The 15,531-nt window shown below is 44.5% G+C and overlaps 1 protein-coding gene across 1 annotated transcript in view, besides 2 other annotated features; it reads left to right on the top strand.

Moving 5' to 3' along the window:
* SORL1 (sortilin related receptor 1) overlaps positions 1-15,531 on the top strand; it is a 181,450-nt gene that overhangs the window by 131,937 nt on the left and 33,982 nt on the right. The window contains exons 27-32 of the mRNA NM_003105.6: positions 1,972-2,079; positions 3,770-3,901; positions 5,009-5,140; positions 5,790-5,924; positions 6,751-6,906; positions 11,373-11,522. Coding sequence (NP_003096.2) covers positions 1,972-2,079; positions 3,770-3,901; positions 5,009-5,140; positions 5,790-5,924; positions 6,751-6,906; positions 11,373-11,522 — 813 coding nt within the window. The remainder of the gene's footprint in view (positions 1-1,971; positions 2,080-3,769; positions 3,902-5,008; positions 5,141-5,789; positions 5,925-6,750; positions 6,907-11,372; positions 11,523-15,531) is intronic.
* Positions 5,614-5,713: an enhancer, noted in NCBI's record as "active region_5662". NCBI's record gives its function as "activates an Ori minimal core promoter by ATAC-STARR-seq in GM12878 lymphoblastoid cells {active_cell/tissue: GM12878}" and the evidence as "EXISTENCE:reporter gene assay evidence [ECO:0000049][PMID:35858748]".
* Positions 11,005-12,204: an enhancer, noted in NCBI's record as "P300/CBP strongly-dependent group 1 enhancer chr11:121465964-121467163 (GRCh37/hg19 assembly coordinates)". NCBI's record gives its function as "activates an origin of replication core promoter dependent on BRD2, BRD4, P300/CBP, MED14 and CDK7 cofactors, with strong dependence on P300/CBP, by STARR-seq in HCT116 cells {active_cell/tissue: HCT116}" and the evidence as "EXISTENCE:reporter gene assay evidence [ECO:0000049][PMID:35650434]".

Genomic DNA, 15,531 nt, shown 5'->3' on the forward strand with positions numbered 1-15,531 from the left:
TGTGTCTCTACCAGTAAAACGTTGCATGTTTCCCCAAGTCTCCTTGATATTAGATTTGTATCTTTTTAGTTGCTTCCACTAATGTAATATGTGTGTTTGCCTCATGTAGTTTTGATTTATACCTCTTTTAAAATACTTTTTCTACCTAGTGACATTAACCATTTCTCCAAATAGTGGTGCTTGTTTACTGTTTCTGTTTGATATCCTTTGGCTAATTTCCCAGAAATGATTACTTTTTACAGGATTAAAACACATTTTCATACTTATACCTAATCCTCAAGGAACTATTCTACACAGAGCTCAGTTTGCAAAGGCTATCTATGACTGCCTCATTAGAAGTGATTTTCTTTTTTTTTTTTGAGATAGGGTCTCACTCTGTCACCCAGGCTGGAGTATAGTAGTATGATTGTGGCTCACTGCAGCTTTGACCTCCTGGGCGCAAGGCATCTTCCTACTTCAGCCTCCTGAGTAGCTGGGACCACAGGGGTTGGCCACCACGCCCAGCTAATTTTTGTATTTTTTTGTAGAGATGAGGTTTTCGCCATGTGGCTCAGGCTGGTCTCAAACTCCTGGGTTCAAGTGATCTGCCCACCTTGGCCTCCCAAAGTGCTGCGATTATAGGCACGAGCCACTGCGCCTGGCCAGAACTGATTTTCAAGTCCAATGCCTGGCAATAACTTTTTGCTCAGGAGAAAGGGTGACCTAGTACTAAAGATTCTGATCAAGATACCTTAGTTGTAGTTTAATTTCCCCTGGAACTGTTGTGAAACCTCAGGCTCTTAGCATTTCTAGGCAAACTTTCTCCAAAACAACTTTGCTTTAGAATTCCTCCAGAATTAAGGTGGTGAGTGATTTAAATAGCTTTATAAAACTAGGATTTCATACTCAAGATTCATATTGTGCTTTTTCTATTCATTGAAGCTTTTCTTTTTCTTCTAAAAAATATACTTAGATCAGGTATGGTGGCTCACGCCTGTAATCCCAGCACTTTAGGAGGCTGAGGCGGGAGGATGGCTTGAGCCCAGGAATTTGAGATCAGCCTGGGCAACATAGCAAGACCCCATCTCTACAAAAATACAAAAATTAGCCAGGCACAGTGGCGCACGCCTGTGGTCCCAGCTACTCAGGAGGCTGAGGTGGCAGGATTGCTTGAGCACGGGAGGTGGAGGCTGCAGTGAACTGTGATCACGCCGCTGCACTCCAGGTTGGGTGACAGAGCAAGACTCTGCCTTAAAAAAAAAAATGTATATACACACACACACACACACACACACACACACACACACACTTATCAAAATGGAAATGTTCAAAATAGAAAAGATACAAAAAGATATAATCTCTCAGGTGTAGGTTGATCTCCTCACCTGCCCAGTTCCCACTTTTTCCTAATAGGAAACCAAGTTGTATATTTTTTCAGAATATTTTTGTGCATATATAAACAAATTTAAGTATACTCTGTATTATTGTCCTATTTCATACCCATAATGTTTAACTTTGCGTATTGTTTTGCACCTTGTTTTTTTCACAGAACTGTTTATCTAGGGCATAATTTTTATAGAGCACTTCTTGCATCTCTTTATAGCTGTCTGTGTTCCAGTGTACAGTAATTTATTAAACAGTCTGTTATTGATGGACTGTTTTCAATCTATTACACAGTTTTGCAATGCAACACTTGTACTTGTGGGCGGTTTTCAACCTGTTACAAACAGTGTTGTAATGCAACCCTTGTACTTATATTAAGTACAAGGTTGTAAACTTTTATTTACATTATTTTTTCAGTTGTGAAGTAGAATACATTTCTACAAAAGTAGAATTACTGGGTCAAAGTGTGTATACATTTGTCATTTTGCTAGTTACAGCCAAATTGCCCTCCCCAGTGGTGGTACCAGTGTGTACTCCCGCCAGCACTGTGTGTGAGTGCCTGCCTGTTTCCTCCTCGTCATTCTTCTGTGTTGTTGAATTCTATTTCAGAGAAGAAGTGCAATGGATTCCGCTGCCCAAACGGCACTTGCATCCCATCCAGCAAACATTGTGATGGTCTGCGTGATTGCTCTGATGGCTCCGATGAACAGCACTGCGGTGAGTTCATTCCTTGCCCCCAGGAAGCACTCAGGCCTAGTGATTATGAGTGAAGAGCGTATATTGGACTAAATCCTTTCATTTCCTCAGTACCTGCTTGTGGTTAGCTTTTAACTGAGTTGATCCCTGAGTACTTGGCTAGGACTCCTGGAGGCTGATCGTGGCAGAGAGACAGGGTTTGGTTAAAGGAGAGCAGGAAGGAAGAAAGCAGGGTTGGGGGCGATGGTGGGATTAGATCGAACTTCAGTGAAAGTTATTGTTTAGTTGAAATATGTTCTATTAATTGACCAGTTGTTTTGAATCGGCCACTTATTTCTACTTGATTGGTTTTGTTAGTGTTGCTGAGTATCACTGGGGGTAGAGTGGGGGGGGGGGCGGGGGGGGGGCATTTTTAGGCCAGATGACCCTTTTTATCTTCAGTTTTCTTTAGCCCCAGAAAGATTGCCTTGGGTCACTGGTGCTCATCCTTGATTATATATTGGAATCACCTGGGGAGCTTTAAAACCACCTGGTGCCTGGACCTTACCCCCAGAGATTCTGATTTAATTAGCGTAGGTGTGGCTGGGACTTGGGACATTTATGGTGCTCCTGGTGATTCTACTGTGCAGTCCGGGTTGAGAGCTAATGTTATCAGTGCAGGGAGTGGCAAACTAGCCTGTGGGCAAAATCCAGTCCCTAACCTGCTCTATTAAATGAAGTTTGATTTGCATACAGTAACTACTATTTGTTTACATATTGTATATGGCTGCTCTCATGCTGTAGTGGTGGACTTGAGCAGTTGTGACAGAGTCTGTATGACCTGAAAACCCTGCAATAGTTGCTTTCTAGTTGTGTTAGTTGGGGTTAGTTGGGGTTCTCCAGAGGAATAGGACCAATAGGATATGCATATGTATATATATAGATTTACTTTAAGGAACCATCATGCAATTTTGGAGGCTGGCAAGTCCCAAATTTGCTAGGTGAGCCAGCAGGCTGGAGACCCAGGGACACACTGAGGCTATATAGTTCAAGTCCAAAGGCTGTCAGGCTGCAAACCTTGGAGAGAGCCAGTTGCAGTTCAAGTACGAAGGTCTTGCTGTGTCCTCACATGGCCCTTTCTCTGTGTGGGCATTCCTGGTGTCTCTCTCTTCTCAAAGGACACGAATTCTTTTGAGTTTAGGCCCCATTCTTATGGTTTCATTTAACCTCCATTACCTTTTTAAAGGCCCTATCTCCAAATACAGTCAAATTGGGGATCAGGGCTTCAACATACAAATTTTGGGGGAACACAGTGCATTCCATAATATTAGTTCCTTACAGAAAAATTTGCCTACCCCCGTATTAGAGAGTCAGTATCTATTAATCATGCTTGAGATTGGGGGTTTGATGCCAGACAGCTCTGGATTTCACTTTTGGCTTCATCTTCATCAGCTGTGTACTCTTGGCAAAATACTTAATGCTACTGCCCTTGTTTTCTCATTTTGAATTAGCGACAATAAAATCTCTCCTAATGTTGTCTTGAGGGTTTAATGATGCACTTTATGTCAAATGCTTTAGCTCTAGGCTTGGCAGAAAACAAGTGCTCAATAAATTGTGGCTTTTACTGTTGCTTCCTGAAGCCACATCTGTACTCGTGTGCACTTGCCCAGGGCTAGAGGGCCCAGCCAGCCGCAGTGCTCATGGCCTCTTCCCTTCTCTGGATCCCTTACAGAGCCCCTCTGTACGCACTTCATGGACTTTGTGTGTAAGAACCGCCAGCAGTGCCTGTTCCACTCCATGGTCTGTGACGGAATCATCCAGTGCCGCGACGGGTCCGATGAGGATGCGGCGTTTGCAGGATGCTGTGAGTTGGGGCAGGCAGGGGAGGTGACTCACGGTCACTAAAGAACTTGCATGGGGGTTTGGCCACCCTGGGGTTGTGTCTCTATTTAATAACTGACAGGTCTTGGTTGAGTGTCGAGGGTTTGACCACCCTGGAGTTGCACCTCTATTTAGCTTACATGTCTAGGTTGAGCATCCAAGCTTGCCTTTTCTGAGAAAGACTTTCTTTTGTTGCTTAAGGAATCCTGCTTTTCAGTTGTGGGTGTATGTATAAGGGGCAGGATGGCGAGTGACCAGGGTCTTGGCTCAAGGGTCGCTGAAAGTGAGAGGCCTTTCTTGCCAGTACTGTATCAGATGGCACTCCCAGCGTGCCGTAGCCCCTTACCCTGCTTCGATGATCCTGTCACAACTTGCCCCAATTTGGACCTGTCTGTTCATTTTGCTGCCTGAGCTTTACAGGAGCAGGGGCTTGTTTTGTGCATTGCTATGGCCCTCTCCTAAAATAGTGCCCTTCTTGGAGCAGCTCTTATATTTGTTTCCTGGGACTGCTGTAGCAGAGTACCACAGACCAGATGGCTCAAACAACAGAAATTTATTTCTTGCAAGCCTGGAAGCTAGCAGTCCAAGATCAAGGTGTCGGCAGGGTTGGGTTCCTCCGAGGCCTCTCTCCCTGGCCTCATAGACGGCTGCCTGGCTGCCTTCTCCCTGGCTCTTCACACGGTCTTTCCTCTGTACACATCTGTGTCTAAATTTCCTCTTCTGTAAGGACACCAGGCCTATTAGATTCGGGCCACCCAGATCACCTCATTCTAACGTTTCCTCTTTCAAGCCCTTATCTCTAAATACAGTCCTGTTTCTGAGAGACTAGAGGTTGGGACTTAAACACATGATTTTTGGGAGGATAAACTCAGCTCATAACACGACTCGGTAAAGATTCATGGAATGGATTAATTAACAAAGTGTGTGCTCTGTTTAGATTAGGTTTGGCTTTTGCTTTCAAGGCATGGTTTAGCCAGACAGTCCTTTGCCAGAACTCACTGCTGTTCCCCCTTGCTTCTGGGCACCACTGCTGCTTCGACCCCTCAGCATGGAAGTTCCTGGACTTCATGGATGTTTGTTCCCTCTGTAGCCCAAGATCCTGAGTTCCACAAGGTATGTGATGAGTTCGGTTTCCAGTGTCAGAATGGAGTGTGCATCAGTTTGATTTGGAAGTGCGACGGGATGGATGATTGCGGCGATTATTCTGATGAAGCCAACTGCGGTAAGATGTCCAGTCTGCCTCCTCACATCCTAATCCTCTAGTTAACAGTGATGCCTGCAGTTACAGGGACACTCACCGGCAACCCCACTGCAGACTTGGCCTTCCCGTAACTCAGCAGCAGTTGCTGCCAGTTCCTGAATACTCATACGAGTTGAGTCTTGAAGGGGGCAGCTGGCACCCAGCAGGTGCTAGGGAAAAGTTTATTTGATCTCCTTTCCTTTCTGTGGTTGGGAAGACCACATTATGTATAAGGAAGGTGGTAGATAAGGAATTATGGTAAATATTATGGAGTGACCTCCCCCTAAAAGTGACAGGCCACAATGTAATAGTTATTGTCATGATTGGATTACCATCAATAGTTGTTTTATTCCTTTGGTAAAATGTCAGAATTAAAATTCAGGTGATTGTTCTCAGGATATTGTAGTATAGATCAGAGGAACATGGGTTAGGGGCTGGGAAGATGGGGTTTTGTTTAGTTTGTAGGTGTATTTTTTGTTCCCCATTGGGTCCATGAAGCTGCCTTATCTCTTTATGGGTGGGAAGTGTGGGTTGCCCTGGAACTTGGGTCTGGAGGAGGATGCCTAGAGTTGGAGCCCTGTGTTCACACTGATGCAGGGAAAGCAACTGATGATGTGGTTGATCTCTGCAGAAAACCCCACAGAAGCCCCAAACTGCTCCCGCTACTTCCAGTTTCGGTGTGAGAATGGCCACTGCATCCCCAACAGATGGAAATGTGACAGGGAGAACGACTGTGGGGACTGGTCTGATGAGAAGGATTGTGGAGGTAAGAGGCCCCTGGGGCCTGGGTTAGCCCCATAACCAAGACACACCAGAATAGTTCCACCAGCTATGCAGGATGTGCCTGGCTGATTCCGTGTTTTGGGGGGCATATTTTTGTGAGAGGAGTGACTCAAATTTTTTCTGTTCCTCTTTCTCATTTTGAAATAAGTGTGGTTGGTTTCTCCTATTTTCAGGCTATTTATTCCGTATTTGCAGGGCAGAGTGAGAAGTCTAGAGCCTTCCTACTCAAAGTATGGTTTGCAACCAGTAGCATCTGCATCTCCTTGGAACTTGTTAGAAATGTAGAATCTCTGACCTCACCCCAGACCTACAGAGTCAGAATCTGCATGCTAATAAGCCCCCAGGTCCTGTGTGCTCCACAATGCATTTGAGGAGCACTCATGTGGAATGCAGACTTGCCCCTTTCCTTTCTGGCATTCTCATCTCTGAACCAGGTCGTGGAGTAGTTGCGGTTGAATTAACTAGAACACAATGCTTTGCCTCAGTAGGAATTCTCTTAGCCACCCTGTGCCTCCTCAGCCACCTGTTTCTTTCACCAGCCCCTGCAAAAGCAAACTTATCTGAATATTAACCGAAATCAAATATAGTAAGGGAAATCTACTCCCCAAAAGGGAAAAGAATATTGCCTCTTCTGACAACCCATTATACATGATTTCTAGATTAGCCGCTGCTCAGAGCTGTGCCAGTCACTGGCCTCCCTCAGCAGGTACAGCTAAAACTGGGACATCCGCACTAGGTTTGGGACATATTTGGTCTAAGATCAAGCTGCTTCTAATGTTTTGGGTTTCCGTGCTTGGTGTTTTTCTCAGATTCACATATTCTTCCCTTCTCGACTCCTGGGCCCTCCACGTGTCTGCCCAATTACTACCGCTGCAGCAGTGGGACCTGCGTGATGGACACCTGGGTGTGCGACGGGTACCGAGATTGTGCAGATGGCTCTGACGAGGAAGCCTGCCCCTTGCTTGGTGAGTTCTGGCCCAGGTCCTCTCCTGTGGTACCTGCTATTGTGGAGAGGACCTTCTGGGGGTGTGCTCTGGGCACAATCCAACCGGGCCCCATGCCCTGCTGTCTGGGACTCTGCTGTGTGGCCAGGTTGCCTGTTACTAATGGTGTACCTCCAGGGAAGGCTGATTTCTAGCATTTTTTCCTGGATCATAGATGCATAGGAAATTGGAATGGGAGCATCTCATCCTCTATAACTGGCCTCTGACCTTCCTGCAAGATGCCAGCCACCCTGATTTCCACCCAGGCTATGGTTATGCCACCTTTGCTGCCTTCTTAGTGGGAAAGTACAAATTGGAATTAATGTGGAACTTTTTGTGTGTGTATTAAACTCTGGGGAGAGAGCCCAATTCAGCTTGCTAGTTGGCCGGCCTGTCCAACTAAAAGAAGGGTAAGCACTGCCATCTAGTGGCTAAACTCAAAGAGGCAGCTGAAGGTCTGTAGTCACCATATTGTTGGAGGTGGGGTAGAACTTGAAATCCCATTTCGTGTGTGCTCCTAACAGCAGGCGGAACAGAGGTGAGGATCCTGTGTTCTTTCCTAAGCAGGAGTCTACTTCAAACTCAGTTATAATAGGAGAACAAATAATTTTTTGCATGCTTTGCATGATCTTTTCCCTTCTTCTGTGAGCATGTTCTTTCCATTGCTTCCTTGTTTAAAAACATCAAAATCCCAAACTTTAGTGAACCTAAAGCATGTAGGGATCTCCTGGGTTCCACCCAGAAATTCTGATTCTATGTTTTTTATAAAACATTATAAAAATGATGTTTTTACTAGGGTGGTCTTTTTGCCATATTGAGTTTCCTCTTGTTCTCCTGTCTAGAAGATCAATTTTTGACAATTTCTATTTTCCAGGCCCTCTGTGAGCTGATTCCTCCTTGCCTCCCTGGATTCCTTACATCAGCCAAGCTAGATTCCTGATCTTCTTCAGATAGACTTGCTTCTTTCCTGCCTGTGCACCTGCAGCAAGGTTTTGCCCTCAGCAGGAACTCCTGTACCCTCAACCTTGTCTTCCTACTTTCCTTATCACTGAAACCCACCATCCATCAGTGCAAACAGAAGCATGGATTTTATAGCAAAAGAGACCTTGATATATTCATATCATCAGAACTTCTCAAAATGTGATGCAAAGACCACCCTAATGGAATCGCCTGGGGTGTTTATAAAAAAATGTAGAATCAGAATTTCTGGGTGGAGCCCAGGAGATCCCCATATGATTCTTAGGTTCACAAAAGTTTGGGATTTCTGCTTTGAACAAGTAGGGTATTATTCTCCTTTCAAGCTCCACCTCTGTGGCGCTTTCACTGATTCCTTTAAATGATTTCCATCTCTTTTCCAGTCTCATTAAACTTACCCATTGACCTTTTGATTCTTAACTATGATCTGCCATATATTGCTTCCTAATTATTTCATGCGTGTTGATCTTTGCTTCCATAGCCATTGTGTGGACTTCCTGTTTGGGAATCATGCTGTCTACTACTTTGAGTCCTGCTCTGTGTCTCCTACAATAATAGGCAAATAGTCAGTATCCCCTAAAATGCTTCTCAAATTAAAATGAATTGTAAAAGAGAAAACAAAACTTTGTGTCTGTCCTTTCTCCTCAAGGCCTACATATTTATTGAATAACTTGATTATCCTCTTCAAGTTGTTTTTGCTTATTGAAACTCTGACCAGGACATTAATAGACTCTAGCAAATTCTGACTAATCCAGTGATCAGATCTCTGTTTATATATCCTGTTCAGCTTTTGTACTTTCTTTTTTGTGCGCAGTGCTGGGACAAATTTAAACTCATTGTTATCTGTAGCTCGTGGATCTTCTTTGTTTAGTGTAGAAGTCTTCTAACTGGCTTATTAACCTCATATTTCTCCCCCTTTCAGTTTTTCTTCTGATAAGGCCCATACTGATGAATGCTCATGTCCTCCCCAGTATTGGAGCCCTCTGATGCCTCCCTTATTGTCCAGGGCATGATTTGCCTTGGCCTGGCATTCTCCCCCTTTTTATTTTTTATCACCTGTCTCCATGTACCTTGTGTTTCTGCAGAGTGGTTCTGAGATATAGGGAAAGCCCCTTTGAAAATCCAATGAAAACTATAGAATATGCACAATATCCTGAAGTTAATAATTGCTTTTTTCATTTGTTTGCTTAGGTTGTTTTGTACCATTTGCCAATGCTTTCTGCCTTTCAGTCGCCACTCAGGATAACTTTCCACAGGTCAACATGTCCAGGGATTTATCAAGTCCAGTTTTTCTCTTGGAGATACTCCTTCTAACAACGTGGATTCTCCTTTCGGGACAGATTGTTCTCTAGTCCTGCTGTGTGCCTGTTACCCAGGGACTTTCACTGCCTCCTTGGAATTCTCTTTGCCTTTCTCCCAGTTTAGATTCCTTGTTTCCTGGATCTTGTGTGTTGCTTTTTCTTGGTTTACTCCCTTGTTTGGGTGGAGTGCATCCTTCAGTAGCCTTGTCAGGTGAATATGATGACGCAGTGGCCAAGGACACTGTGATGACAGCTCTCAGGTGTTTGTCTCTTGAATTTTGCTGCTCTGGTTTGTATTGGTTGCCCTGTATACCTGGGGCACAACTGCCTTTTAGGACGTTGCACCATCATCATCTTCAGGATTTCCTTTACCTCCATCTCCTGTTGGAACTCCTGTTTTCTGTGTCCCAGTTTTTCTCTTTTTAGTTTAATCCCATGTTTCAGTAGAGCACGTTTTCTGGAAAATGCCTGAGAAAATGTATGTGGGAGGCCTGTGTGAGGTCTTGCTTGTCTTAAAGTGTTTTAATTCTGTCTTCAGACTTAATTGATAGTTGGGCTGGGTTTGGCGTGCTAGATTGTAAGTAATTTTCCTTCAGAGTTTTGAAGGTTTTGTTCCACTGCCTTCAAGCAGCTTTTCGGAAATCCAAAAGCCATTTTGATTCTGATTTTTTTTTTTTTGTATGTAACCTGTTTTTAATCCTCTAGAAGCTTGTAGAATCTTCCCTTTGGCACCAGTGTTTTAAAATTTCACAATGATGTGCTTTGCTCTGAGACCCTTTCCATCCAACATAGCGGACACTTGCATGCTTTTTGATATGGAAGTTTATATATTTTAGTTCAAGGAATTTTTCTTGAAGTTTTTATTAATGATATTTCCCTCTCTGTTTTCTCTTATTTCCTGGAACTCTTGTCATTCATATATTGTCTCCTGATCTGGTCTTCTTCCTTATTTTTTTGTTTAATCTTTTATAGTTTTGAAAATTCCCTTCCCCCACCCCCCCAATTTTCTAGGAGATTTACTCAACTTTATATTTCAACTCTTTGCTGAGTTTTTCATCTTTGTTGTCATGGTTTTAACTTTAAGAGCTTCTCCATTTTTACCACTGTCCCTTTTTATGGTATCCTGTTTTCTTTTTTTCTTGGATAAATAATATATTCTTTCTTTCTGAACGTATTAAGGATATTTGTTTTTGAAGTTTTCTTCTTGCAAAGCCTCTATTTCCTCCAAATGGCCTTTTTGGGGGTTAGGGCTCTGTTTGGCTTTCTGCCTTTCATGTCAAAGCCTTTTCTCAGATAGTTCTTGGTTGCTGCTTGTATTTAAGGCTGGGGACTAAAGTGCTGGTAAGTAATTCTGAGCACATGGGTGGGCTTGTCAACTTCGAGGTTCATGGCTGGGAACCATGGGGGAACTCTGAATCTTGGTTACTTCAGGGTTAGTCTCTGAAGCTGGTCATTTTCCCCAGAGAAGATTATTAGATCTCCTGCCTAGACAATAATTACCTTATTGCTAGGATCCTCGGAGAAGAGGACTGGGACTTCCATATGTAGGTTTAATCCCCCTTTTATCAGTAGGATATACTTGCTGTCAACTACGCCTATCTAAACAACTCTCTGTTTTTACTTTCTCCAAATAACAACCCTCCATTCTTCTATTGGGGTGACGTATGGGTTGGTTGCCTCGTGGGACTGATAGGAGGGGATATAAGGAATGTAGCTGCGTCTTAAACATCATTCAGTCAGTTCCCTTATTTTAACTCCTTCTTCACTTCCAGTTAGATGCCAGTTTCTGAACTTTTGGAGGACTGTGTGTTGTTGATCTGATTGGTTCTGAGCTTTCTCCTGTGACGGCTTAGGGTAGGACGCAGCCTTCGCTGGCCTCTTTAGTCACATACCGCTATCTGTCTTCTTTCCAGCTCCCAAATCTCATTATCCATGTCCTCGTGGATTTAGGTCTTTGAAAACAATCTCTTGACTGTGGCTTTAGTGGGATCCTGTGGGGAAGCAACATTAGATGTCTGTATCTACTCTGCTCTCTATCCGGAACTCGCATTTGTCTTCAGGTTCCCATTGTAATTTCTAAAGCACCGTAATCTCCTAGCATATTGATTGGTTGCTGTTATTGGCCAGCTCCCTCAATATTAAAAAGTAAATTTTAAAAATCTTTTATTTTAGCAAACGTCACTGCTGCCTCCACTCCCACCCAACTTGGGCGATGTGACCGATTTGAGTTCGAATGCCACCAACCGAAGACGTGTATTCCCAACTGGAAGCGCTGTGACGGCCACCAAGATTGCCAGGATGGCCGGGACGAGGCCAATTGCCGTGAGTAGTCAGAGAGCCCTTCACCCCCTGGGCACGTTTCTGCAGAGAGCACAGTTCTGGTGCTTCTGCTTCATTTCTGGATCAGCACACGCCTGTGTGTGAGTCTGTGTACTTGCGTAACCATGCTCTTACTGCATTCTCCACAAGCGCTTTGCCACGTGCACCCATACCATTGCGTTAGTCACCTTCTTTTTAATAAGTTGACTGCGTTTTAAATACCAGGAGCGTGTCCAATAAAAATACTTTCTGAATGACTAAGATAAATATTTTAAATAGGTTTCATAAGCATGTTTAACTCTTTAAAAACGCCCTTGGGGAAAGCCACAACTCTTCTGTATGTACATTCATTCTTCTGGAAGTATTTAGTGAGCACTTACTGGGCGTAGAAGCTGTGTTATTAGAGGGTTTGCCTCTAGCACCCCATTAAGAAAATTCATTCTCAGTCCTTAGGGTAATTATGGTTGGTGAGATAGTGTGCCGAGCCACATGGGGAATAATCACAGGGCCATCTGAGCCCAGTGTGAGGTGATGCATGCATTCTCTACGGGTTTGGAGTTGGTGGGTCCTGGTGTTTGGTCCTCTGATGAACCCAGGGAGGATCTTTGCAGTGAGTGATGGAGGGAGACACTGGCTTCTGCAAGCGTTTATCCTCATGTGACCAGTCAGCGCTTTTCAGTCCCTGGCTGCACGCTAATGCCGCCGTTGGCTGGTCTGTCCTACTGTAGCAGACTTGGGAGGGCATGGCTGGACGGTGCTTATGCAGCCCCCCACCGGCCTGCCTCTCTGACGGTTGGGTGCTGCTCTGGCTCGGGGATCCCTGCTTTGCGGGCCTCCCCTCCATCCAGTCTCCTGCTGGCTGCAGACAGCAGACGTCCTAGCCAGTCACACTCCCTTCCTTGCCAGGATAAGGGCTTCGTCCGTGCTTGCCTGATTCCTGTCCTGGTGAATGTAGAAGACGCCCCTCTCACTCTCTGCTGAGAGCCTCCCTGCCGCCAAGCCCTAACCCTAAGCAGCAAACGCCTCAGTTCCTCCACTTTGATCCCTGTTCTGGTCCCATTTTTTTTTTAATCTTAAAATAATGACTTCCTCAACCAATGAAAAACTGAGCCTCACTTGGAATCCTACCAAGTCTTACCATTTAGAGATGGAATAGAATCTGAGGTGGAGGTTAGTCATCTCTTAATTCCTCTAATTCAGTATTTACAAAATTTATGGGACTTAGCAGGATCATGTGGAAGTGCTTATAAGAGATGTGAATTTGGTGATCTCACCTCAGACCACTGAATCAAGAGCAATGGTGGAGGAGATGCTCGGGAACCCAAGCCTTTTCAGAGGTGCCCTGTCTGATTCTTAGCATCAGACAAGATTGGCAAATACTGCTCTGTCCTAAATAGTTCACCCAGTAAGGCTCAGGGGGAAAGGGAAGAGGGAGTCGGCCGTCCCTTCTCTGTCTGTAGCGTTGTTCTCCACAGGGTGCCCGACTGGGCTCTCCCTGGAGAGGCTTGGTTAAGAGGAAGGAGTGTGGATCCAGTAACATCTTCAGTTTGGTTGGACAAATTTTTGTTGATCATGCACAGCGTGGCAGGCATTGATCAGGTTTCTGGCAATACAAATTCTTTGTGTTTTTTTTCTGGCAGGCATTGATCAGGTTTCTGGCAATACAAATTCTTTGTGTGTTTGTTTGTTTTTTTTTTTTTTCTTTTGAGATGTCATCTCGCTCTGTTGCCCAGGCTGGAGTGCAGGGGCGGGTGGGATCTCAGCTCACTGCAGCTTCCGCCTTTCGAGCTCAAGTGATTCTCTTGCCTCAGCCTCCCGAGTAGCTGGGACGACAGGCATGCGGCACCATGCCTGGCTAATTTTATGTTTTCAGTACAGACAGGTTTTGCCATGTTGGCCAGGCTGGTCTCGAACTCCTGACCTCAAGTGATCTGCCCACCTTGGCCTCCCAAAGTGCTGGGATTACAGGCCTGAGCCACCACGCCCGGTGACTGGCAATACAGATTCTAGTGGGAGGGACATCAAGTCAGCAGCTATCCTACAGTGTGGTGTAGGCAGTAGCAGAAGTTATCCAAGGAACTGGCATAGTTTGCAGGTGGGCTAGCTTCCTGGAGAGGTGGGGACAGGCCAGGAGAGGCAGCCCCATTGATGGTGCCTGGACAACGGTGGGACAAGGTGGCAGATGATGGGCATTCTAGACACAAGGGACAGCATGTATATTCCAAGGCTCAGAGGCATAAGAAAACAGACCTGTAGAGTGGCTGTGGGTGGGACAAAGGTGAGTGCAGAGAGGTAGGCATGAGGTAGATAGGGCGACCCCTGTGCTTGGAGTTTATTTTTCTGGTCCTAAGGAGCCCTTGAAGATTTCAGAGATGGGGTGTTTATATCTTAGATCACTTGGACTTCATCATGGGGGGAATGGGTTATAGAAGAAGGCTGAGGTGAGATTGGAAGCCAGGTGCCCATTAGGAGGCTAATTTGATGGGACTGTGAAGATGAAAAAGGAAGAGTGACCTCTTTGTATATTGGAGGTACTATTAACAGCATCCAGTGAGTTTTTTTGGCTGTGGTAATAAGGAAAAAGGAAGAATGAGGGTTTTCCCCAGGATGACAGTGAAAGCTGATGCTACCAGCTATGTGGGGGTTACTGAGGATGAGGAGTCGCAGCTTTCCCTGGGTGGGGCTAGCACGATGGTGGGTTCATTGATTGACATCAGCATCTGAGGTAGTGCAAGTCATCCTGGAAGAAACTGAAAAGGGGAGGTCAGAAACCGGGGCATTCTTGTCTTCCTTTTCATTTTACTGCATTAATTGTCCATGCAAGTGATCTTCGCTTGCCTGTTGCAATGAGTCTTTGCCAGTTTTCACACTTTTGTTGTTCCTTGTGATGATCTCTACGGTGATGGACTTCTGGAGACGAATTTCATTCTAGGCCTTGATGTGCTCTGACTTGAGAGAAAAATCATCTTGGCCAAGTCCTTAACTTGAAATATGAAACTAATTTATTTCCACCATGCATAGGTTTTTCTCCTAACACTTGGCTTTTCGGAGGGGTCCCAGGACCCCCATCGTTGATGCGTCCTTTCCTCTCCAGGAATGTCACTTTTGCTTTTGTTTCGGCTGCCTGAAGGGTCTTTTCTTTGACTAAAAGTCAAGGAATTGGATAAGTTGCTACCTAGAGGTCTTTTTTTCAAGAAACACCCTTTGAGTCTTTCCAATTCTTCAATTTCCAAGGTAGGGTGATTTCTTTTTGTTTTGTTTATTTATTTGTTTGTTTATTTTAGTTTAGGAAAATCATAAGGAATCTTTCATTACTAAACTATTCCTGTTGGAACTCAGATCCATTTTGGGGTTGGATTTCTCTCTGTCCAGAACATGCCACTTGTTATCTGGAACCCAAGAACCAAAAAGATTAAGATAATTTGATATCTCTTGATACTTGTGTATAAATCCATATAAATAAATAAATGAATCTATATAAATAAACCAAATAGGCCAGGCGCGGTGGCTCACACCTGTAATCCCAGCACTTTGGGAGGCCAAGGCGGGTGGATCACCTGAGGTCGGGAGTTTGAGACCAGCCTGACCAATATGGAGAAACCCCATCTCTACTAAAAATGTAAAATTAGCTGGGCATGGCGGCGCATGCCTGTAATCCTAGCTATTTGGGAGGCTGAGGCAGGAGAATTGCTTGAACCCGGGAGGCGGAGGTTGCAGTGAGCTGAGATCGGGCCATTGCACTCCAGCCTGGGCAACAAGAGCGAAACTGTCAAATAAATAAAAAAATAAACCAAATAAATTCAGATGGTGGGGGATATTTTAATCTCCTTGGTTAACATTTCCATATTACATCTCTTTCTCATTTCTTTGTCATGTCTTTCAGTTGTAAGGTTGAGCTTTGTCATTTACTTTCAAAGTTAATGCAAGTTTGCACAAATAAGTGTTTGGATTTGCTGATGGAGTTTGTCTTCAATATAATTAATTCTCCTGCTGTGTACTTTTTTTTTTTTGA

This window comes from Homo sapiens, chromosome 11 (genome assembly GCF_000001405.40).
Source record: "Homo sapiens chromosome 11, GRCh38.p14 Primary Assembly".
NCBI lineage: Eukaryota > Metazoa > Chordata > Mammalia > Primates > Hominidae > Homo > Homo sapiens.